Raw genomic sequence first — 25,751 nt, 5'->3', positions numbered from 1 at the left:
GCAGAATGAAAGGACCAAGTTCGTTTTATCCCAGCCACACTGAATATTATATTTTTGTGAATTATTGGCAAAAAGGCTTCTTCCATTTTTTAATTTGTGCTAAATAGATTTGTAATACAATACTTGTTTGACTCATTTTGTCAGAAGTAACTTTTACTTTTGCATTTCTTTTATGAGATCATTTATTACTAACATTCATTTATTAAACAAATATTTGACTGCTGTCAGGCTTTATTTCTAACTATAGTGAATACTCTAATAAACATAACAGTCATGGTCCATGTTCTTTTTAGGTGCTTAAGGATCCTAAAATACTTTCTAAATTTGTGCAAGGCTGATCTAATCTTCTAAAGTAGTCTTGAGCTAAAACATTTTTTCTATTTAATGAAAGTGAATTTTATGTTGCCTTGGAAAAAAACTCTTAAAATATTATTTGTCCTGTCAACTTTCTACTCCATCAAAATATATTACTTATGGGGTTGGGTGAGGATGAGGAGGGACAAGAGGGAGCTCGCTATGGTTGTAAAAGGACAACATGGGGGAAAGATTTTGAAATTATTCATATCTTTACTATGGTCATGAATGCATGAAGTTGCACAGGTGATAAAACTGTATAGAAAATATACGCACACATATAAGTGTAAGTAAAGCAGAATTTTTAATAAGATGGGTAGATTATGTTAACATCCTGGTTGTAACAGATCTGCAAAATGTTATCCTTGGGGGAAACAAGGTGAAGGATATACAAGTTCTCTCTTATTATTTCTTATAAGTGCGTGTCAATCTACAACTATCTCAATAAAATTTCAATAAAAATATATTACTTCTTTTTTCATATTTACTTACCTTTAGTGTTTCAGAGGGTTGTTGTTAAAATAATCTGAGACAATGTAAAAACTCAAAATCAAAAAGAGAGATGAAATAGGTATTATGATAGTTCAGAGGATGTGTCCCATTGAATAAGCAGTGACTTGGCTGCAATGATTGCTTGGCAAATACTGAAACCTGAATATGACACAGGTTATTGCTCCTCTAGGAGTCTATTAGTGAAATAACAAATGTATTCAGAAAAAAAAATCTGTGTGGTTGGATGTTAAGAGATGATGAGTAATAATTTTGGGAAATTATATTTGAGGCAAAATATTAAATACATGAATGGTTGAATAAATGAGTAAGTAAAGTTACCCAGTAGTTAAGGAAATTTGTTTTCTTTTTACTGTACTTATACCAGTAAGCTAACAAGAGAAAGTCCTCATCTCAAAATAAATAAACTCAGAATTTCTCACATGGGGAAGGTCCAGGTGAGGGGGAATTTGGACAGAACAGCAATAAAAATTAAAAAGCAGGATTGCCTAAAGCCAGATGCCTTTAGGTTCTGCACACATCTTGCCATCTCTTTGATGTCTCCTTAATGGAACCCAATTCTAGGCACATAGCACCAAATGTCTTCGCAAGATAAAAGTAAGATGTGGTTTTGGATTGCCACCGTCACTGGGACCATCATTTTGCTCTGAGGTCCTGACTGAAGAGGAAGAGAGCAATTCTATAATTAGGACAAAGACAGGTACGTCCTAGCATTTCACCATGCCCCCTTTATAATTAGGCTTCAAACATGGCATCGATCTGCATCAACTCTACACGCCACGCCTCTCACATAACTCACATGTTATCTAAAGGATACAATATTATTTTGCAATTAAACTACTTCCTTGTTTACTGTCTTATATTTGATAGTAAACTCCGCCACTAAAATTACCTGAATTCTTAAAAATCGTGGACAAGCATAAGCTGGTAGAAATGTTACAACTTGTTCATAAACTTTTTCCAAATCTAAAGATGTATTTGGTTTTAAAATAATAGAAGCCATTCCTGCTCTTCCTTCATAACCTGAAAAAAAGTTTGAAATAGAGTCATTTTTAAGTACCAAATAAACTTTAAAAGATAATTCTGTACATGCTAATTGGCACACATGGAGACATTAAATCTATTTCAGTAATAATAAGACAACAGGAGCATAAACTAGTCTGTATCCTTCCCTGAACATATGATTTACCCCCTAGAAATCATTTAAGGACAGGGAAGGCCAGAGTCTATCTCTAATTGCCTATACTACAGAAATGAAATACATGGAATGGGAAACACTATAAATTACAATGAATTTGCATCCTACCATCACTAAAACAAATATTAAGAAAGAAAACATTTATTTAAAGGCAACTATATTCCAGCAGAAATACATATCCTAAGCTTTAATGTAAAATATGAAGGGCTTATTTTTTAAGTTAAGAAACTAGAAACTCGTATTTCCATAATTGATTCCAAAAATCATTTAATGCTTATCATGCCACCTGTGGATCTTTACAGGGGTCAGAATGTCCTGGAATCTTTCTTCAACACTCAGTGGCTATTTATTAAGTAATCATTCCCTTCTTCTGCTCTCCTATCCACACACTCACATCCCTGATCTCTCCTGCACCTAAAAGCATTTGCAGAAAAAATGGAGAATGGCTGTCTTATGACTTCAAATTGGTCACTTTTCTGTGGCATTTTCAACATCATGAGACAATCCTCATATGCATAACTATAAGGATAATGAGTCCAAATTTAAAAATAATTTTTATAAAGAGCCATCTTAACTAAAAGTCAGTATTTTTAAACATTTAAAATAGAACATGTTCTTGTTTAGTGGTATGTACAAACACCAGTCATAAAAAGAAAAATAATAGACTAATAAAAAGCTGTAACTAATTCCAAGCAGTGAGACATTGATCAGAGTTTTCAAGCTTTGCTAAAAAAAAAAAAAAATACACGCAGGCATTAAAATTCAGTTGGTACCTTTCCCCTGATGTGATCATGAACTTTGTTAGCTTGGTCAAGGGGCATTACTTGCCAAGACAATAATAAAATCTTTATCTTAATACACAAAAATTAAAATGTTGAATTAGCAAGACTGTTGCAAAACTAGAGAATAGTGGCAATTCTATTCTAAGAATCTTTCCAAAATCTGAAATATATTTATACCTGATATAGCCACACCATAGACGTTTGCTTCCTGTATGAAATCCAACATTCCAATAACATCAGCAACCTCAGTGGTTGCGACATTTTCTCCTTTCCATCTAAATGAAAAAAATCAAATTCCAGTTAGTGCACCTGTATTTGAAAAACTAGGTACCCAGTTTTAGTTTTAATGTCTTGCATTTGGCACTGTGCAAGCACCTACTGACCAACATAATTGTAGTTTTCAAGATGAAAGGCATTTCTAAGAAAGCACTTTGTTGGTATTTCAACAAAATCAGCATTGGTCTTTTAGTCAAAATTACTTTATATCTCATTGTATAAATTACCTTCTATGTTTTATAATATACATAAAAATAAAATAACTACAAGGATTATCATTACAAAAATATTATTTTGTAAAATAACAATGAAGTGTGAAACATTCCTTTTCTCTGGTGTTAAGAATTGAAAGCAAAGCTCTAGTTGTCTTTTAGGACACTGACCCACTTCAGTTTCTAGGTGTTAACCCCTTTGACTCTGACCCACTTAAATTTCTAGGTGTTAACCCCCTTTGACTCCTTTAATGCTTTTGAATGAATATTTTGTTTTAATTGAAATAATTTTATATAAAGTGAGCTTATAACATGGTACAAGAAGGCAAGGATGTAGGAAGTTACTTATTCATTCAAGTCATTGGACTAGTAAAGCAAAATAATTTCATAGGCCTAAAATAATCTTAGGGAATTAAAAAAGGAAATGTGAGAAAGGGGATTTTTGCTGCTTCAAAATTTTTATCATTAGGCCAAGAATTAGACTACAGTTGACCAAACTGGCTTTCTGTTTTAACCCTACCATTTATATTTTACATCTGTCTGCCAGTTTTATTTCCTTAAAAAGGAGCTCACTGATTTGTTCTAAACTGATTCACTAAAATAATCATAAAACTTTACATCAAAATTTAACTTGTGGTTCAGTCTAGAAACAGATGGCCAATAAATGTTTTAATGAGGAGACATGGAGATAAAAGGGCTCTGTCTGCCCTGAAAGCTAAAGCATATGTGGTCTCTGATGTTTCTATAGAAGCATGGTTCACAATTACAGAACAAGCTATGGATCCCATAACATTTCATACCTGAAAGTGTCTCCAGTACGGTCCCAAAAATAAAGGAAATTGTCCTGATCCTGGACTATTAAGTCTCCAGTATTAAGGTAAACATCTCCCTTCTTAAAAACATCACAAAGCAATTTGTCTTTTGTGTGCTTATAAGGCCCAGCATAGCCAAAGAAGGGATTTTTTGCATTCACTCGAGAAATGAGAAGTCCAGGTTCTCCTGCAAGAAAGAACGACATTTTTGCAGCCATCTGATTAAAACTATTGTTACACACACCATGAATGTATCTATATTATATCTGGCCAGCACAACCAATGCTGCTTATCTCAGCTTCCTCTGAACCTATTTCTGTATTTGACATCATTTACCCTTGGTGCCTATATCCAGCACATCCTTTCATAGATTACCACAAATACAAATTACTTTGGAAAAACTAATAAAAAGGGAATTGAATGGAAAGAAAAGCCTCATTAGATTTCTTATACTTCCCAGGTGGATAGACCAACGGCTATTTTTGTTTTGGATTATGTAGATGTTACCACAGATAATATTGACATTTGTTATATAAATAACAAATGTAGTGATAGTGTTAATAAAATAATGATAGCATTTTTTATTGGGCATTTACCATGAGCCCTTTGCAAATGCCACTTTGCTTATTCTGCATAGAAATCCTTTGATATAATCCCTATTTCACCAGCAAGGAACTAGGACCGAGAGGGGTAAAATAGTTGCCACGCTCAGAGAAATAAATGGACCTATAACTCAAATTCAAGTTTTTATGACTTTGTGTGGCAAGGTTTCTGTATAATACTATCTCTGATCCAACACACATGTTATTATAATAAAACAGTTTATTCCTCTGGGATGCTATTCTGGAAATTTTTGATGGGAAAGAGATGAGACATTGAAAAGGTTTCCTATTCTATGATACTTATTAGTTTCAGTTATGTTTAGACACATTATCTGAAATAATTTTCCAATCAAACTTATTCAAATTAATTAAGGTTTTTCTCAGCAATCTGCAAGGTAAAAGCTACTTCTAAGAGAAGACGAGAGGACAAAGGACAGCAGCAATCACTGCTCTGGAAGTCTTCAAGGCTATTGTCCACTTGCTATGCCTGCTGTAAAGTGATGCAGTGTTCATGCGGCTAGATGAAGTTGGAGTCCAGCAAACTATGATACAGAGTGATTTCTGTCTTTTTAATGCTCTTAAAAAAAATAACTCTCACTCTGTGACCCAGGCTGGAGTGAAGTGGCATGATCATGGTCCACCACAGCCTTGACTTCCCAGACTCAACCGATCCTCCCACCTCAACTTCCCAAGTAGCTGGGCTGCAGATGCATGCCACTAGGCCCAGCTAATTTTGTAATTTTTTTGTAGACACGAGGTCTCACCAGGTTGCCCAGCTGATCTAGAACTCTTGGGCTTAAGCCATCCTCCCACCTCAGCCTCCAAAAGTGTTGGGATTACTGGCGTGAGCCACCGCACCCAGCCAACAGTCTTTACTCGACTCCCATTTCTCCCACTCCTGGGCATTCTGGCTTTCAAGGGCACATAGGTCACTGGCCAAAGCAAATCTTCTCTGCCCCAGCAGTCTGATAGCATCATCATCATCATCATCATCATATCATCACCATCATATCATCATATCACCAACACCATCATATCATCATCATCACCATCATTATCATCACAATTATACCTATTGAGCACTTTTTGCATAATAGTCATGATTCTGAGTGTTTTACATATGTAATCCATTTAATTCTCATCACAAACCTATAAGAAAGGCCCAGATAATATCTTCATTTTAAGGTGAAAAAACTGAGGCGTAAAAAAAGGAATTTGCCCAATGTCATACAGCTGTCAAATGCAGGAGTCGGAGTATATATATATATATATCCAGGTACATCTGACTCCAAAGCCTTACCTCTGTGATATATTCTGTCAGTCTACATTCCCTGTATTTCAGAATTTTTCAAGACTCTTATATCTCCCTTAAAACTTACGTTTTTTTTTCTTTTTTAGGACACAGGTGACAGTTTCTTTTCTGACAAACTAATTGTTGCAAATGTTTAAATAGGTCACAGTGTATTCATATCTTTCCTGTCTGGGCATAATTTACATTGTGAAGACACAATGCCTTAATGGAAAAAATATTGAGTAGCTCATAATGAGAATTCCAAAATAGAAAAACAGATATTTGGGGTCAACCAGCTTTTTAAGAAACCCTGAGGTTACATAAGCACAGTTCTGGGATTCAAGTTTTAACATCAGATATTACTATAATTGTAAGAAATAGAACAGTAGAAAAGTGCACTTAAGTTCTTTGCACTCTGCTCAGAAATTATTTTCCCATGGGCAGTGTCTACAGATTAGAATTGGAGAAACATATTTGATAAATGCCAGTAGGCTTGAAATTCAGAGATTTGGGAGATTTGTTTTTTAATAGACAAAGTTTGCATTTTTTATTTTAGTCTTTCAGCTACCAGAAAATAAAAACAGGTTTGTCACCTTATCTTCACATTTGAAGAAAAGATTTAGGAAGCCACTTCTGAAATGCAGTTTCAACATATTTTAAGGCAATACAAATTAATTTTGGCTTGATTTATCCATACTGGATCTCTAAACAATTCTAAGTGCACATCTCTATATTTTATTTTCTAATTTGATTATATGCAGCAGCAAGTTAATTGAAGTACTTGCTTTCATGAAAATTTCTAACCTAAAATTGTAAGAAAGTCTACCTTGGTAGAGAAGGGAGGGGAGTGAGAGGGAGAAGCTGAGGAGAGGAAAGTAACAAGCCACATACCAGGTCCCCCAGGAATATATATACATCCCATTTAATCGTCCACAATAACCTCACTTAATAAACATTGTCACTTCTACTTTACATATGAAGAAAATAAGACTTAGGTTGAGTAATCTGTCTAAAGTTGCACCATTTCTAAGTGTCAGAGACCACGTTTAAATCCAAGTTGGCCTGACTTTACATTATATCTAGAGTGATAAATTAATTCACTAATTTCTATATTATAGTTTGGCAATATAGGACATTAGAAATTTGCCACTGTTCATACTACAAGTGGTGGATTAAGAATAGTATGAGCCAAATAGTTACCACTTTTGTATTTTAATAATTTACCATCTGAGTGATCCCTCTAGGGCTCTTAACATTTAATAGTAAAATTGTTCCACCTGCATTAAAATTCCAAAGTTAAATTATACAGTGGACCTAGTCATCCTCTCCTTTTTAAATTCACTAATAATCACAGTGGGCCCTCCATATCCATGGTTTCACATCTGTGGATTCAACCAACCTTGGATAGAAAATATTTGGTAAAAAAGATAAAATAATAATAAAACAATAAAAAATATAAATAAAAAATACCATACGACCCTATTTATGTAGCATTTACATTGTATTATGTATTATAAGCAACCTGTTTAAAGTATACAGGAGGATGTGCACACCTCATAGGCAAATACTGTATCATTTTATATAAGGAGCAAACATCCATGAATTTTGGTGTCTACCCGGGGTCCTGGAACCAATCCCCCAAGGATACCAAGGGATGTCTGTATACAGGAGATCAGAAACTTTGCTTGAGGAGATGTCTTCAAATAGAAGTCTTACCTTTTTTCACATGAATACACCAACCCTGCTCATTTCTCATGGGTTCATCTTTCTGAAAGTCATACTTTATTAAGTCAAAAGTGGAAAGAAGCTGCAAAAAAAAAAATCAAACAAATAGAAACAAGCATTTAGTTACTTGTGCATTTAGTTACTTGTACAAGCAATTTAGTCTACTGTAGTAGACTATGCTAATTGAAATAAATAATTGGAATATGGAGTTATTAAAACAACTTTTACTGAAGACAAATTAAATAAATATTTAAAAATCAAAACTAAAGGTATTAGTAAACAGCAGTCATTTACTGGCATTTACTTTCATTTCTTTTGTGGTACACTTTACTTAGCAAAACACTACTAATTTTAATCAAGATACTGAAACAATCCAGGCATTCAATTATATACTCTGTTAACTGCAGGCAAAAGGACCATTTTCTGCAGCCATTTATTTAAAATAGCCCTTGAAATGAAAAGTTTTAATAGAACTAAAATGGAAGCATATTAATTCAAAAATTGTGTTATTTTTTCCTCACAGTATCTAAAAAAAAAAGTCAAAACACATCAAATGCCTAAAAAGTATGTTTACTTGACAGCCACTTTGTCCTTTTCCCCTAAGCCTTTCCCCTGAGCCTTTCACTGTAACGCTCCTAAACTAACATTCAGTGCTTCTCCACACTCTTTTGGTGTGAGATGATAAATTTATTAGAAAACTCCCATCGCATCAAGAACCAAAAATTGGATGTCTCCTCTCATCCCTTCAGCTACTCTGCTCCTATCATGTCCATATTATCACATCATGCAGGCTCATTTGTCCCCTAAATTCTCACCCTGGAAGAGAACTGCAGACTGGTTTAGTCCAACCTCCTCCTATTTTGTTTTGTTTGTTTTTGAGACAGTGTCTCACTCTGTCACCCAGGCTACAGTGCAGTGATGAGAACTTGTTTCACTGCAACCTCTGCCTCCCAGGCTCAAGCAATCCTACCACCTTATCCCTCCATGCAGCTGGGCTTACAGGTGTGAGCCACTTCGCCCAACCCTCCTCATTTTTATTCTGTAAGAAAATTGAGGTTCTACTCAGCAATCAAACAAGCTCAGTTAGAAAATGGTAAACTAACATGAATGTAATAAAATGAAGTGAGATAAAATAATAATAAGGAAAGATGAATGGGGGGAAAGCAGGAGAAGAGAAATGAACAAATATAGAACAAATAAGTGGGAAAAGATAAGATGATTGAGATAGATGCAATAGTATTATTTATCATCAAAGATTAAATACAAATACCTCTGGTTCTTAGCATTAGGAAAATAAGCATGTAACTTGAATCACAACTCATTATTTGAATTAAAATATAAATGAGAGCAATTAATATTGATTGGGCACCAACTATATGCTGGACACTGTGCTAAGTGTTTAAGAGTTCTATTTAATGTAATCATCAAAACATCCTATGATGTAGAAATTAATATTATCCTATTTTAGGATTAGAGCCAATGAAAGAGGCAGCAAAGCAAATATATTGTTATTCTAGATATAAAGACTGTTTATTAAAATACGAACTTGCATCTTGTTGGTCTTTGTCTGTAATTGGGATAACAGGATATTGGCCACTTGCCTAATGGCTAGTAGAAAGAAAGAGTCCAGAAGTTCCGGGACTGCCTTTATCATCTTGGCCAAACAAAAACAGAGCCCTGTTCATTACTTATTCTTTTCTCTCCTGTTTTAACATGCTTTGTTTTTTGGAAAATTTGCCCAGTGACTTGTGATGTCAGCTTTAGTGTTATTTCTTTTAGATTAATTGGGCAACTGTGTGTGGGTGAGATTCATTCCACAGCAAATTACTGTTTACTGTGTCTGTTATCAGAAAAAGGGGACTTGATAGTCAGAAATTGAATAATTTTATAATTCAAACGCAATTAAATATATCACAGCATTTTCTAGAAGTACTCTGGAGCAGAGGATTAATGCTCAACTGGAAATATTTCCATTCTCCTTCCTGCCTTCAAGAGGTCCTCATGATATTACAAAAATGGCTGCATTATAATACAAATTTAAAAAATAGATGCCACACATTAAAATCTCCCAAATGTACATGTTTATGTATGTGTATATGTGTACATGTCTGGAGCACAGCTGCAGGGGGTCCCATTCAAAACATGGGGTCCCATTCATAGCAGAACTGTGCAATGCACACACACCTATGTGGCTCTATGCATTGGCCCTGGGAGATTTTATCCACACCCACGTATCTTTGCAGATTCAGATTTGTAAATTTATGAGTTGGAAAAGGAACGCAAAGTTAATTTCCTTGATTAATACATGAGGAAACTCTGAACTGAGAGAAAAGTAACTTGTCAAAGTCACGAAGTGAAATAGTAGTAGAGTCGGGAACAGAGTTATCATCAGTCCCTGTGTAGTAAAGAATTTAACCTTGCCCCCAAAAGAGGTCCTGGCTTCTGGGAGGTGATCTCTAAGTCCTTGGAATGTCATTCTTAATAGAGTAGTACATTTTTTTGTCTAAAACCTTTGGGCAACTAGATGGTAACACTATGATTTAGAAATGGGGTCTCTGAGGCACATGAACAATGTGAGGTAGGCCGGGGGCTTTGGATCACCCAGCTTGACCTCCCAAGGGGCAGGAGATGGAAGTAAGCTATGTGAGCAGTCAACCCGAATTACACAACCAAGCCCCCAGAAAGACTGGACATCAAGCCTCCTATGAGCGTCCCCATTTGGCACCAGTTCGTGCGTATTATTATACAATTCCAGGAAAGTAATGCTGTTCTGACTCCACAACACAGCATAACTGGAAGCTTCACCCTTGGTACCCTCCTGGATTCTGCCTTACATATGACATCCCTGGGCTGATTATAATCTAGATCCTTTAGCTGTAATAAGCTGAGTTTTGTGAGTCCTTTTAGCAAATTATCAAACCTGAGAGTGGTCTTTGGGACTCCTGAAATTGTGTCAGAAATGGGAGTGGTCTTGTGGGGACTGTTCTCTTATTTTGAAGTTGTCTAACTTTCCTCATCCCTAAAAGACACCTACTTTTAAGGCAATAAAACAGCTTATGAAAATGGTTAAAGAAATGAGCCATTTTATTAATCTCATATATTATTTTAAAATTTAAGTTTAGATGGTAAATTTTAAATTCTGTTGTTATCTATGGATTTGCCAATATGACAGGTAGGAGAATAACCATTTCTTCCTTTCCTCCCCCCCACTCCCATTTTTGTTAGTGTTATAATTATTTTTACATTGTCAGGTTTTATTCCATGTATAAACAATTCAGAGTTGTTCAATCTTCTACGTGTGAATTGATCCAATGTTCACCATCAGGCATTTTAACTGAAGGTGATTCTTTCATTTCTAAGTTATGGTTTATCTTCAAGTTGGCCATGATTTTTCATTCAGTGAATTTTACAAAGAAATATTGCATTCCTATAAATATGCAGGTATTATAGTTTCTGATTTCTTAAAACTTTGAGAAAACCTCTTTGTTGACTTGATACTTGAGAAGCAACTTAGCCAGAACAAAAATTCTTAAGTGAAGCCAATTCTTTCCTTTTTTTCTAGCCTTGAGTGTTTTATTTTGAGAATGCCTGAGATGTTTCCCACCCTCATCTGTGTTACATTTTGCTCATCCTTTGCTTTTGCTACCTCAAAATCTCCTTTTGGTTCTTTTTGTTTCATAATTTTACCAGGATATATTTTTCTGATAATTATTCTACCCCATATAGTGTACTCTTCTGCTAAAGATTCAAGTTTTTACCTTAAGGAAATTTTCCTCTATTAGGGTAGAAATAATTATTTTTTTCTTTGATCTGTTCTTTACTGCAGGAACACCAATTAAGGACACATCAGATCATTGTCTATGTTTTCAAAATCCTTTTTCTTAATTTTTAAATTATCATTTGCTTGCTCTTTTTATTGTGTTTGTGGGACTCCTTAATTCCACTCATCTTTCTCCCTAACAACGTTTACATTCCTTTTATTTTATGTGATGCTCATTTGTGTAATATTTACATTTTTTCCTCTATTTTTTTCTTTGAGCTGAGCGTGCTTACTTTTTAGTTCATTTTGTTTATTTATGTTTCTCCTTGATCCTTTTTCTTTTCTGGGCTCTTATTTTTAAAGAGAATATTATTGCAAGTTTTCAAGCCTGTGAGTAATTGTTTTTCTAAACATTTCCTGGTCGTTTTGGGGAACTTACTATTTTGATGTGCATTCATTTTTTTTTCCAGCTGCCTTTCATTTAGATTCATTTTCTCTTTTTTTTTCCGAGCTTTATTTCACCTATGTATAAAATGTGCATTCATTTTTTTCAGCTGCCTTTTATTTAGATTCATTTTCTCCCTTTTTTCAAGCTTTATCTATGTATTTTATGTTTGTCTCTTCCTAGTTACTTTCCCCAGGTGAAAATACTACAGAAAAAGAGAAAGCACTTCATAATTCTACTTGAGTTTGTCTCTCAAATATGTTGTCACTAAATTTTTTATATAGTTTGCCCTGGGAGAATATGTGGGACAATATCTCTTCAGTTTTATGCATTAAAATAGTAAGTGTAGCACATAAAGACAATGGGTTATAGGAACTCTGTGTTGCTGCCTTATCTTTCTCCTTCACTTGTAACATTTTATCTCTGGAGGCTGCTTCCCTCCCAGATAATAAGCATGAGCCTCCATTAGGTTAGCATTTTTGACAGACATTTATCAAATCTCCTCTCTTAATTATGAGATAATCATTGAACCAAATTTTTCTAATTACCTGCTATCTAACAAAACAACATGTGAATAAAATGATAAAAGACAGACTAGAAGTCATAAAGTATTAGGCACAACTTTGTTTTTTCATTTCCAAACTGAAAAAGAAAACTAAAATGAGTTGAAAATCAGAGGTTTTCCAAATAAATTGAAGACAATCATGACTTTTTATATGATTGACGTTATTACAGTTGACAGAAAATTTAAAGCATTAGAAAATTATAATAAAGTCAGTAATATAAAATACAAATCATCATACCCTTGTTGGTTGCTTTAGAATGGCTCAGCTTCACAAAGGGGCTCAATATCAATACCAAATTTGTAATGGAACCAGTGCAATTAACTGAGAAAATTAACTGCAAGGAACGTAAAACTCAGTAAAATCAGCACTTACTTTCCCCAAAATGCTTTCGTTCAGAATAAAGTGCATTTCTTAGATGTCAACTATACCCTCAAAGTTCTAAAAGAATGCATTATAAAAATAGTTTGCACCTTCTTTTGGTTTAGAGCATTACTGTGATTTACACCAGCTTTGAATGGGCAACTAGACTGAAAAAGTGAGCTGCTGTGGCATGAAAAACACATGTCTGCCGATTACTTCCAGATACTGAAAAAAATCACCATGGATTAGAAAAGCAAATACTTTGTTGCTTCCAGGTGTTCTTTGAGGTATGGCAGTTTATTATACAGAAAATTTCACCTAAAAAACTAAAGCAGTTAGGGATGAAAGTGACAAAAAAGCACCAAAGTTCGCATTATGGGATTCTTAAAGATCTCTTCAAAAGCAGTTCTAAATATGGCTTGAGTAGGGTGCTCTGGAAATGTCAAAAGCAATGCTATAGGATAGTGCTACTTTCAGAGAACAGGTGAGGCCACTAAGGAAACACACCTGAGGAGAGAGATTATCAACCAAAAGCTTTCCTCATACATGTATGTCTGTAGGAAGTACTTTCGTTCTTGCACTATTACGTCAGGTTTGGAGTCAAAAAATGAGTTGGGAAGTTTTTTCTCCTTCTGCATTATCTGGAAGAGTTCGTAACAGAGGAATTATTTGCTCTTTGAATATTCATTATCCTGAGTGGGAAAGCTATCTGAAATTAAGGGAAGATGTTGGAGTATGAATTTATTTCATTTAGTGTGATAAAATAATTCTTGAGTCAATACTAGTAAGTTGTACATTTCTAGAAATTTATCCAATTCATCTAATAATTTCAAGTTTATTGATATGAACTTATTCAACATATCCTCTTTTACTGTCTTAATGTCTAAAGTATCAGCAGCAATGTTCCCTTTTCCATTCCTGATATTATTTGTGCCTTCTATCAATCAGAATCGATTTACTTTTTAAAAATTATATTTCTATTTATTTTTGTATTCATCACCAAACATTTTTTCTATGTCATTAATTTCTGCTCTTTATTATTTCCTTCCTTTTATTTCCTTTGAGTTTATTTTAGTTGTCCTTTTAAAAATTAACTTATAGAGATAGTTACTGAGCTCCATCCAATTTTCAGCTATTCTTGGCTAAGGCACAAGTTTTTTAATGTAACATTTTCTTTATGATTTAGCTCATAGTATCTTCTAATTTCTATTATGATTTTTTCTTTGATGAATGGATATTTAGAAATGTTTTATTTCCAAATATATAGGAGGTTATCTAGTTGTCTTTTAAAAAAATTATTTCTACCAACAATTAAACTGTTTTCAGAGAGCATAATTTATATATATTCAATCCTTTGAAATTTGTTGGAATTACCTAACTGGCCCAGTAACTTTTGTAAACGTTTCAAAAGTGCTTGAATAAAATAGATATACAGCAGTAGTTAGATGCAGGGTCTTTCATATGTCGATTAGTGGTTTCTTATTATAGAAGGTTACTGAAGATTTATTTTCTCTTGCAGCTATACCAGTTTTGCTTTACAAAGGTTGAGACTGCTATCTTTATTTTTGCCTGCATTCTTAAAAAATTATTGTTGAGTATAAGTTCCAGTTTGACAGTTATTTTTTCCAAGCCAGTGGAAGGTAAATGTCTACTGTCTTTTGTGTTTTGTGGTTGCTACTGAGAAATCAGCTGTCAATCTTCTCCTCCTAAAAAGTTGGTTTATTTGGCTACTTTTAAGATTTTAGTGCTATCTTAATATAGTTTAAAAATTATTAAAAGCCTGTATAGAATTGAGTGGTATAAACGATGAAAGATAAATAGAAATAGTGGAATAAAAACACTCAAGGAAAATGGAAAGAGTCAAATTAATATATACGGAAAGAGTCAATATATATCAGGGCCTATGCTTGCTATTTATAAATTATATCATTAAATTTGGAAACAGAACAAGAAAAGGCATCATTATGGTGATATGAGAGAGAAAATACAGAAGATAACTGAGGTTCACATAACCTATAGCACTGTCTCTCACACTGAGGCCACTACTCTATTTCTAGAAATTCTCAACTTAAAAAAAAAAAAAGGTGATAATATTTACCACAATTTACAAGCATAGTATCTAGAAGAGTGCTGGCAGACCACAAGGTGCTCCTTTTTTTTTTTTTTTTTTTTTTTGAGACAGAGTCTCGCTCTGTCGCCCAGGCTGGAGTACAGTGGCGCAATCTCTGCTCACTGCAAGCTCCACCTCCTGGGTTCATGCCATTCTCCTGCCTCAGCCTCCCAACTAGTTGGGACTACAGGTGTCCGCCACTACACCCGTCTAATTTTGTTTTTGTATTTTTAGTAGAGACAGGGTTTCACTGTGTTGGCCAGGATGGTCTCGATCTCCTGACCTCATGATCTGCCCACCTCGGCGTCCCAAAGTGTTGGGATTACAGGTATGAGCCACCGCACCGATGTATTTCTTTAATAAGGAAAATGCTGTACTTACTTTGTAAAACAAATTTGTTCTCCCAATTGCTCCAATTCTCCCAGTGTAGTTCATGAAAGATATGCTTGATTCGGTAGCTGCATAAAGTTCACACACCTTTATATTTCCAAATCTGTCTAAAAATTCTCTCCATACATCACTCCGTATGCCATTTCCAATTGCCAAACGCACCTTATGATCCTTTTCTCCTTCTCTCTGTTAGAAGAAAATGTTTTACTTGTAATTAGTTCCAGTTTCTAATTCTTTCTTTATTATTATTTAAATGAAAAATATCATAGACGTAAACTGCATATGTGCAATAACAGAAGGGAAGTTAAAATATGTGTATAAGTCTATTGCAGAACTGTGTCCAAATCCTAATGAAAGTAACACTGGTCAAGAATAATACAGTTTGTGTTTTTCCATATCTGGGAACAGCTCATTCTAAATTGCAGATCACTAAAGGCTTTTTTTTTGGGTAAATGTCAGGTAAGGAAGAAAGCATTTTTCAGGAAGAAAAAAATCATTACTTTGATAACATGAAACATACTTAAGTTTGGATGTCCAGGCTTAGCAGTAATTAGCTATACAATTCTGAACAAGATGTTGACTCCTACCTCTGATTCTCAGTTTATTCATCTATTTTAAAAAAGATAATAATACCCATCTTCCTTATATACTGTAGTGTATAGTTAATACGCAGTGCTTAACATAGAGTAAACGACAATTTGAGGCCATAGAATCAAAGTAATATTTGACTTGTAAATATTATGGCAACTATATGTAATTATTGTTTTAGAATGTGCAATATTCTCACAGTTTTACTTTTCATTCATATTTTAGAATTAAAGGAAGATACAGGATTCTATTTTGTTCTATATCTAGTAAGTAATGTTTTAACTAACATGAACTTTTACACTCACCTAAAATTAGAGTAAAAATATATTATCAGTGTAGTCACAATAAATCCATTATTTGCTCTGATTACCTCCATCATCACCAAAAAATGCAAAATAACAAGATGTAATAATAAATCAGCAACAACAATAAAATAGAGAAACTGGCTTCTTTGGTACCCATAATTTAAAATGATTAATGGATCACATTATTTATTTCAGTTTCTCTAAACACCATTTAAATGGTTTTAAAGTGAAGATTTTAATCTACGAATTCTCAAGAATAGAGAGAAGTGAGTTGAGAGGTAATTTTGGAAACTGAAAAGTGAAGAGATAAAAGGACATGTGATTGAGCAGAATGGATAAGGCTGAAATCCAAGCCTGCAGGTTAGCACTCGACAAGGGTTCCTGAAAGTGTCAAGCAAGCATCAAAAAGAATGAGGAAAGCAGAAAGCTTGGCAGGAAATTTGTTTCAGAAGCAGTTGTATAACTGAATATCTACATACAGACAAAGCATCTGGGAGTTTGCCCTTCCTACACATTGGCCAAAGACTGGAAAGTAATCTCTGGAGATGTCTAGCCAGACAGACACCAGTTTGGGTTGAGGAACTTACTGTGAAAATTAATTTTACAAAATAGAGTCCTTCACGTCATACCAAACTAAAATGGATTTGGAGGCCATGAAGAAAGGCACCCAGGTCATGCATACCTGTTCCAGAAAATGTTTTTGTAATTCAAACACAAAAGCACAAAGACCTAACCATAACTTTAAGTCTTACCTGGTAACTGTTGACACTCAGAACTCGCCAGCTCCCATAAGACACTGCCATCACCAATGAAACTTCCTTCAAAACAGCTTACATAACTTTGTTCATTTTCCCAATAAAACCCCAGCCTTTCCTTTTGTTCTTCAGACACACCTAGAGGCTACGCTGGTCTATGTGTCCCGAATTGCAATTTTTTGTTTCCAAATAAGCTCTTTGCTTAGAGATGCATCTCTATTATGTAATTTTTATTTCAAGTTAACACTACTGAAAACAGGAGGGTTAAATGAAAGTCTACATACTAAAAGATGAGATCACTAAACTCTTTTCCTGCTCTAGTATCAGAATTCCGATACCCCAAATCATATACCAGAGCAGGAAACTGTTCAGTTACTATCAAGGAAACTGGTCAGTCCAAGAGAAAAGATACTGACTTCTGGAAGTATCTCAATAAAATGTCTGGATCCTCACTTAGTCACCCTAGAATCTGAGCCTTTTGTTGACAAATCCCAGCCATGTGCCATCAGGCATTTAGTGCCTCATTCTGAAATATGATGATTAAAGAATTAATTTTTTAAAGAATAAAAATATGTAAAAGGAAGTAAAAGACATATGAGACGCAAAGAACATGCCAAAAATACCTACAAGTGGAGCCCTATAGAATAATAAAATGAATGGAGAAGAGGCAATTCTGAAGAGATTTTAACTGAGAATTTTCCAAAAGTGATAGAAAGACATGAAGCCATGAAAAAATAAATAAATAAAACCTAAAACCTCAGACAGGTTAAATAGCAGGGAAATACAGTTGGACATTTTCTGGCAAAATTGCTAAGAAGAAAAAATATATAAAAATTAAAAAGAGAGGGAGAATTTTAAAAGCAGCCAGAAAGAAATAGAAACATCATTTCCAAAGGGGCAACATGAATATTTATGGCTGACATTTCAACAATGACCGTAAGCCTGGAAGACAATATAATATTTTAAAGCTAGTACAAGAAAATAATTGTCAACCTAGCATTCTATACTCAGCTAAAGAATTATTCAAAACTAAAGGAAAAACATGTTTTCACACAAATAAAAATGGAAAATTTTGTTTTTAGTAGAACGGTACAGATGGAACACTAAAGGCAGTTCTTAGCACCAAAGAAAACAATATTATACAGGAGCAAAGAAACAAAAAGCAGGAAGGAATGAAGAGGACCAGAAAAGAGAAGTGTTACAAAGTTCTTGCATTATAAAGAAGTGGAAAATATGCTATTTGAAGATAGAATGTGGTAAGTTAAGAATTAATCTTGTATCCTTCCAGGTAATTACTCAAAGAAAAATACTTAAATAAATAAAACAAATATAAAAGGATGTATAACTAAAGGGCTAATCACTGAAAACTAATAATAAAAATATTATTTCAAAAGAAGATTAAGGGGGAAAGGGAACAAATAACAGATGAGACAACAAGAAAAAATAGCAAGATAGAAGCTATAAAAGCAAATATATCATAAGTACATAAAATGTAAATGGACTAAATATGTAATCATGGAAAAAAAAACTTTTAGAATGCATAAAAATATAAAACTCAACTATATCCTGTTTATGAAAAATACATCTTAAATATTACATAAGCCCAAAATTGAAAGTAGTTGGATGGAAAAAGGTAAGCCATACAATCATCACCCAAGAGGAAGCTAGTATAACTATACTAATATCAGACAAAGTAGACCTTAAGTAAAGCAACATTTCTGGAGATAAAGAGGGATAGTTAATAATAATAAAGGGGTCAATTCACTGTATGGATAGCAACCTTAAATTTCTATTTACCTAACAACATAGTCAAATATATAAAGCAAAAATGGACAGAGCTAAAATAGACTGAGATATTTTTAACTTCTCTCTCTGGTACTGATAGAATAAGCGGGAAAAAAATCATAAGAACATGGAAGTTTAAAGAAAACTAACCAACTTGACCTAATTTATGTATACAGAACAGTGTAACAAGGTACTGAAGAGTACACATTTTTTTTCAAGTGGCCATGAAACATTTATCAAAATAGATCGATCATTTGTTGAGTCTTACAGCAAGTCTAAGCCAAATTCAAAGCATTAAGCTTCATTCAAACTATGTTCTCTGACCACAATAAAATTAAACCACAGATCAATTACAAAAAAGAAAACTAGAAAATCTCCAAATGTTTGCATAATAATAATACACCTTTAAACAACCCATGGGTAAAAGAAAAAAAAATTACAATGAAAATTTAAAAAGTATTTTGAACTGTATAAGAAAAATAAGACAGAATAAAAATTATGCTATGCAGCAAAAGCAATACAGTAAAAATACGTATTTTTATATTATAAAAGTATATATGTATAAATAGTTTGATATATATTTATATAATACACGTATGTATGTGCATATACTTACACCAAACTATAATATATGTATATTTATGTAACCATATATAGATATATCTATATCTATATGTATCTTTTCAAGGGTATTTGTGTGGCAAACAGGCTTGGAAGCTAGAGATGGTTTTTGGGTCACAGAGAAAATTTATTTACCTTCCATGATAGTAAAGTCTCCCTCCTCTTCCGGGAGAAAATTTGTTTACATACAAGAAGATTTACTTGCATATCTTTATTAACTCTTTCTCAGATATAAAGAAAGGGCAGGTTTATCAGTAGCCCCTTAAATGACTGGGAAGCTCCTAAGGGCCGTGTTCTCAGCTGAGGCACAGACCTATGCTACAGATGTAGCATCCACCTAGGCCCACCTCTGCATTCCCCATAGGATGTGTGGGGAGAGGGAACTGTTGTGGACATGAGATGTGAACAGAAGGTTATGATGCTTTTTGTGCTGCATAAATCTATTTAAGTTCATTCTTTCCTTACTAACCAGTTTTATGGAAATATGGTGAGCCAGTCAAGCAGCTATGGTGTTGCTTATGGACTGCTTGAATGACTGACAAAGTGTTGAGCAGGTACTTCTCAAAGAATACCTCCAAGCATCCAGTAAGTATATGAGAATATGCTCAACATCATTCATCATCAGAGAACTACAAATCAAAACACCATGAAGTAGCAACAAACATTTACAAACATTATGATTTCTTCTTTAGCATAGCACTATAAATTTTCCAACAAGTGTTGGCAAGGACATGGAACAAATGGGACTGTCATAGACCATGGGCAGGAGTGCCTATTACTGCTGCCACTTTGATTAGCAATATCTACTAATGCTGAAATATGCATAAAATACAACCTACCCATTCCACTCCTAATTATCTACCAAGATAAATACATAAATCTGCCAAAAGACACATATAAGAATGTTCCTAGCATCATTAATCATATTAAGTCTCAATTGAAAGCAATCCAAATCCATCAATAGTAAAATAGATATATTTTAAATGTTGTGTTATAGTAACATAATGGAATAGTCTTCTATTAGTTTTCTATTGCTGCCATACAAATTTCCATAAACCTAGGCCCTTCAAACAATGTCAAGTTACTATCTCACAGTGTCCGTAGGTCAAAAGTCCACATCAACTTAACTGGTTTGTGTGATTCAGGACTCACAAAACTGAAATGAAAGTGTTGACTGGCTAGGGTCTTATTGGGAGACTCTTGGAAGTATCTCCTTCCAAGCTCATGCAGGTTCTTGACAGAATCAAGTTTCTGGAGGGTGTAGGACTGAGACTCTTGGAAGTATCTGCTTCCAAGCTCATGCAGGTTCTTGACAGAATCAAGTTTCTGGAGGGTGTAGGACTAAGACTCTCTTTTCTTTGCTGGCTATCAGCTGGGGGCTGCTCTTAGATCATAGAGGCCTCTCTCCAGTTCTTCCACATAGGCCTCTATATATGAGAACAACAAATGACACATTGAGTTCCTGTCATTTTCCAAATCTCCAACTTCCCCTATGCTGAGTCTTCCTTGCTTGCAGCCAGAGAAAATCATCTGCTTTAAAGTCTGATACGATTATATTGTATCCACCAGGATAATCTTCCTATTTTAAGCTCTGTAACTGTAATCACATCTGCAAAATCCCTTTTGCCAATGTTTCTACTGCACACATATTCACGCATTCCAGGAATTAGGGCATGGACATATTTGAAGGGGCCATTTTTTAATTTTTAATTTGTAATTTGTATTTTTTTTGCCTACCATAACTCTAAAGTGATGAGAGAGAATGAACTACTGCTATACCTCAAAACAAAGATGAATCTCATTGACATAGTGCTGACTGAGTCAAAGAAGCAAGGTCAAAAGAATGCATATATATAATTTCATTTAGATTCTGTTTTTGGGAAACAAGCAAAACTAATTTATACTGGGAGAAATCAGAATCTTGTTCACATTTGGGAGGACAGTGACTCACTGATTCAGCACGTTAGCAGGGACGCCTTTAAAAAATACGATTTATTAAAAACACGTAACATGTTATTAAATCTTATTAAGAAATGTTAGCGCCAGGTGCAGTGGCTCATGCCTGTAATCCCAGTACTTTGGGAGGCTGAGGCGGGTGGATTGCCTGAGATCAGGAATTAGAGACCAGCCTGGGCAACAAGGTGAAACCCCATCTCTACTAAAAAATACAAAAAATTAGCCAGGCATGGCAGCGTGCACCTGTAGTCCCAGCTACTCAGGAGGCTGAGGCAGGAGAATTGCTTGAACCCAGGGGGTGGAGGTTGCAGTGAGCCGAGATCGCGCCACTGCACTCCAGCCGGGGCAACAGAGTGACACAGGCACACACACACACACACACACACACAAAGAAATGTTAGCTATGATGGGGAGTTTGAGATGGATTTGTGATAGACATTAGAAAGCTAAATTTAAAATATAAAAATGGGACAATTATTATTTATAAGGAATGAAAAGAGAAAAGTTGTAATGAAATAAATACAGTATGTCTCAGCTATGAATAAAATTTATATATTGTCACTTCTTTACAATACTTTAAAAACTGGTTATAAACATATTTTTAAACTATCATAATTTTATTGGTGTCACAGAGAGAGAAGATATGTGTGTGGATAGTGAGTATGTGAGTAGGAAGCCAGGTAGACGACAGTTAAAACTGAAAAATCAAGAAATAGTAGAATACATATTTTACTGAGAAATATGGAGATAAGTAATAACTAAAAATGTCCTAGAAGAATTAAAGATGCTTACTTCTAGAGATCAAGTACTGATAATGCAGAGATATTTCTTATCCTAAGAGTACTATTTCATTTTTATAACTGTGTAAAAGTACTGTTTTGATTTTTAAAAATTCAATTGAGGCTGGGCATGGTGGCTCACACCTCAGCACTTTGGGAGGCCAAGGCAGGCGGATGACCTGAGGTCAGGAGTATGAGACCAGCCTGGCCAATATGGAGAAACCCTGCCTCCACTAAAAATACAAAAATTAGTTGGGCGTGGTAGTGGGTACCTGTAGTCCCAGCTACTCAGGAGGCTGAGTCAGGAGAATTGCTTGAACCCGGGAGGAGGAGGTTGCAACGAGCCAAGATTGCACCACTGCACTCCAGCCTGGGTAACAGAGGGACTCTATCTCAAAAAAAAAAAAAAAAAAAAATCAATTGAAAATAATAAGATAGCCAAGATGTGGAATTATGTGAAACGCTCTCACTTGTTGATTTCCTTAGACCTACATAAATGAGGTTTAAGGTAATTATTCTGCAAATGGAGAAAAGACTCCATCTGCAGCTCCTTTCAAGACAGAGGGTTCTTTTCTCACAGTAAATATAACCCACAGCAGTTCTGTTCTAGTTCCCGCCTCCTATGGGCATGGCAGATTTTGCCTGCCTGGCATGGAACTAGCTCTTGGATTTTCCACTGCCATTTTCCTGCGTCAAACAGCAGCATTGCAAATCTTAGGACTTATTTTGCTTGAATAGAGAACAATCTTTTATATGGTATAATGCTTGGAAGCTTTTCAGGTATGAGATGAGTTTTAGCAAGTATCATCATTTATAAGATGCCTTGGCATTCTCTGAAATCCAATATGAAGGTGGTTTATAAACCAAATTCCACAGGCTTTAACTTGTGTGGGCTATAGCTATACAAGCTTACTAAATAAAAACAATCATCCTAAGAAATTCAGTTGATACAGAGAATCACATTTTCTAAACTAGGATCAAGACTTTTGTCCCAAAATATCAAATTCATTTCTCTAATGTCCAAGATCTCTTTTTAAAAAATTTTTCTTTCCTTTAAAGAAAACCCAGAAGACCATGCTTTGAAAGGTATGAGGAAACATCAATTGATCTATTGTTTAGTGTTATGTGGGAAAAGAAAATGTGTATTTCTTTTGATGTTGAAATATACACATATCATATCATACAACATTTAGAGAATACAGAAAAATAAAAAATGAAATAATATATAATCTCACTATATAAATATTATGTAACATATCTATATATACATTAAAAGTTATAATCACCATAATATGGCCATATATTCTAATTTATTAATAAATTCTGGACATTATTCCAAATTGTTATCATTCAAATATATGATGTTCCATGCTTTTGATTATCATATAATTATACCACAATTTACCCCTTCATCACCTGTTTTTGAACTGCTACATTGTTCTTAAATGTTCATCATTATAGATAGTAGAGTGAATATCTTATCTATAAATTTTTGCATCTCATTAGGACAGATCCCTGGAAGAAGCCAATAGTTGTAAATATTTTTATGGATATGTTACCAAATTGTTGGCTAAAAATTTATATCTTATTGAGGAGAGGGAGATGGATACCTCTTCAATGAAGAATTCTTAGAAATATGACATTTCATTTAATTTAAAATGACAATTTGATAAGAAAATATATTGTGTTTAATTTCTTTTTATTTTTAACCAAGTTGAATGCTTGTCATTTAATAGTGTATTAAGAAGATTAACACTTTTTAAAATAGTTACGAGCATTTGTTTCTTTTAATTTGATTTTTATTTTTAACATTATATTTTTTTTTTTTTTTTTTTTTTTAAGACTGAGTCTCGCTCTGTCGCCCAGGCTGGAGTGCAGTGGCATGATCTCAGCTCACTGCAACCTCCGCCTCCCGGGTTTAAGCAATTATCTGCTCCAGCCTCCCAAGTAGCTGAGATTACAGGTACGTGCCACCACACCTGGCTAATTTTTGTATTTTTAGTAGAGATGGGGTTTCACCATCTTGGCCAGGCTGGTCCTGAACTCCTGACCTTGTGATCCACCCGCCTCGGCCTCCCAAAGTGCTGGGATTACAGGTGGATTGTGCCCAGCCACATTCAATGTTTTTAATAATTAAATGGATCATTCTCTGCTCTTATTAATATTTCAAATTAATATGTGATTTAAAATTTTCTTTCCCATCCTATAAGCAAAAAAATCTATATATTATTTTCTTCTTATCTCTTTACATTTACCTATTACATTTATCTAGAATTAACTTTATGACAAGGATATAATATTTTTTGCTGTACATAATGATGGTCAATTCAGATTTCATGAAAGTTTAATTTTAAATCTATTCAACTGCACTTTAGATAAGATTTACAAATAAAAGGTCTTCAATTAATAAAAGTCTAAAATTTTACAAACATCTTTAAGCTGATTCAGTAAGCACACATACACAAAATACTTTAAAACAATTCTCTAAAATCTTGTTTTAAATGGTAACTAAGAATCTAAACATGACACTTACAAAAGAGTTAAACATAAATGACATAATTTACATAAAATACGTGATATAAATTACTGTTGTTATTTTACAGATTATTGAGATATTTCTTGAAAGTTACCAGTAACATGTTTCAGGTTTTGGTTTTCTTGATTCAAATTATGAGCATGGAATTTTATGTAAATGAAAATAATATGATTCCTTTATTTATTATAATAATGACAAATTATATGAAACCCTGTAGAAAGCCCAAAAGTTATATTTTTGGCACTCACACACAGACACACAACACACACACACACACACACACACACACACACACACACTCATGCATATATACATATATGAAAGGTGAGAGAGAAAAAAAGCTTTAAAAAACGAGTGGCTGGGCGCGGTGGCTCATGCCTGTAATCCCAGCACTTTGGGAGACCGAGGCGGGCAGATCACGAGGTCAGGAGATCGAGACCATCCTGGCTAACACGGTGAAACCCCGTCTCTACTAAAAATACAAAAAATTAGGCGGGCACGGCAGCTGGCGCGGCGGCTGGCGCCTGTAGTGCCAGCTACTCGGGAGGCTGAGGCGGGAGAATGGCGTGAACGGAGGAGGTGGAGCTTGCAGTGAGCCAAGATCACACAACTGCACTCCAGTCTGGGCAACACAGCGAGACTCCGTCTCAAAAAAAAAAAAAAAAAAAAAAAAACAGTGTGCACAGGAATGAAAATTTTACCTATATGGAATACATAATAAGATATTATCATAAAGTCTAAATTAGGTATTGGCAAACTACAGCCTGCAGGGGCCCAATCTGAGCCATGTCCCGTTTTTGCAAATAATGTTTTATTAAAACAAAACCAGACCTAGGCCGGCCACGGTGGCTCACGCCTGTAATCCTAGCACTTTGGGGGGCCGAGGCAGGCGGATCACGAGGTCAGGAGATCGAGACCATCCTGGCTAACACCGTGAAACCCCGTCTCCACTAAAAATAGGAAAAATTAGCCAGGCATGGTGGCAGGCGCCTGTAGTCCCAGCTACTCGGGAGGCTGAGGCAGGAGAATGGCG

At 34.6% G+C, this 25,751-nt stretch overlaps 1 protein-coding gene across 3 annotated transcripts in view; it reads right to left on the bottom strand.

Annotated features, from left to right (window-relative positions):
• Positions 1-25,751, bottom strand: part of SLC27A6 (solute carrier family 27 member 6) — a 68,148-nt gene that overhangs the window by 2,172 nt on the left and 40,225 nt on the right. For all 3 annotated transcript variants that reach the window (NM_001017372.3, NM_014031.5, NM_001317984.2), the window contains 5 exons: positions 15,385-15,579; positions 7,754-7,844; positions 4,133-4,331; positions 3,022-3,119; positions 1,757-1,887 (listed from right to left, as the gene is read on the bottom strand). In NM_001017372.3, the coding sequence (NP_001017372.1) occupies positions 1,757-1,887; positions 3,022-3,119; positions 4,133-4,331; positions 7,754-7,844; positions 15,385-15,579 (714 nt within the window). The remainder of the gene's footprint in view (positions 1-1,756; positions 1,888-3,021; positions 3,120-4,132; positions 4,332-7,753; positions 7,845-15,384; positions 15,580-25,751) is intronic.

The sequence above is a fragment of the Homo sapiens genome, chromosome 5, assembly GCF_000001405.40.
Source record: "Homo sapiens chromosome 5, GRCh38.p14 Primary Assembly".
NCBI classification, from domain to species: domain Eukaryota; kingdom Metazoa; phylum Chordata; class Mammalia; order Primates; family Hominidae; genus Homo; species Homo sapiens.
This window is presented reverse-complemented; position numbering and strand designations above follow the sequence as displayed.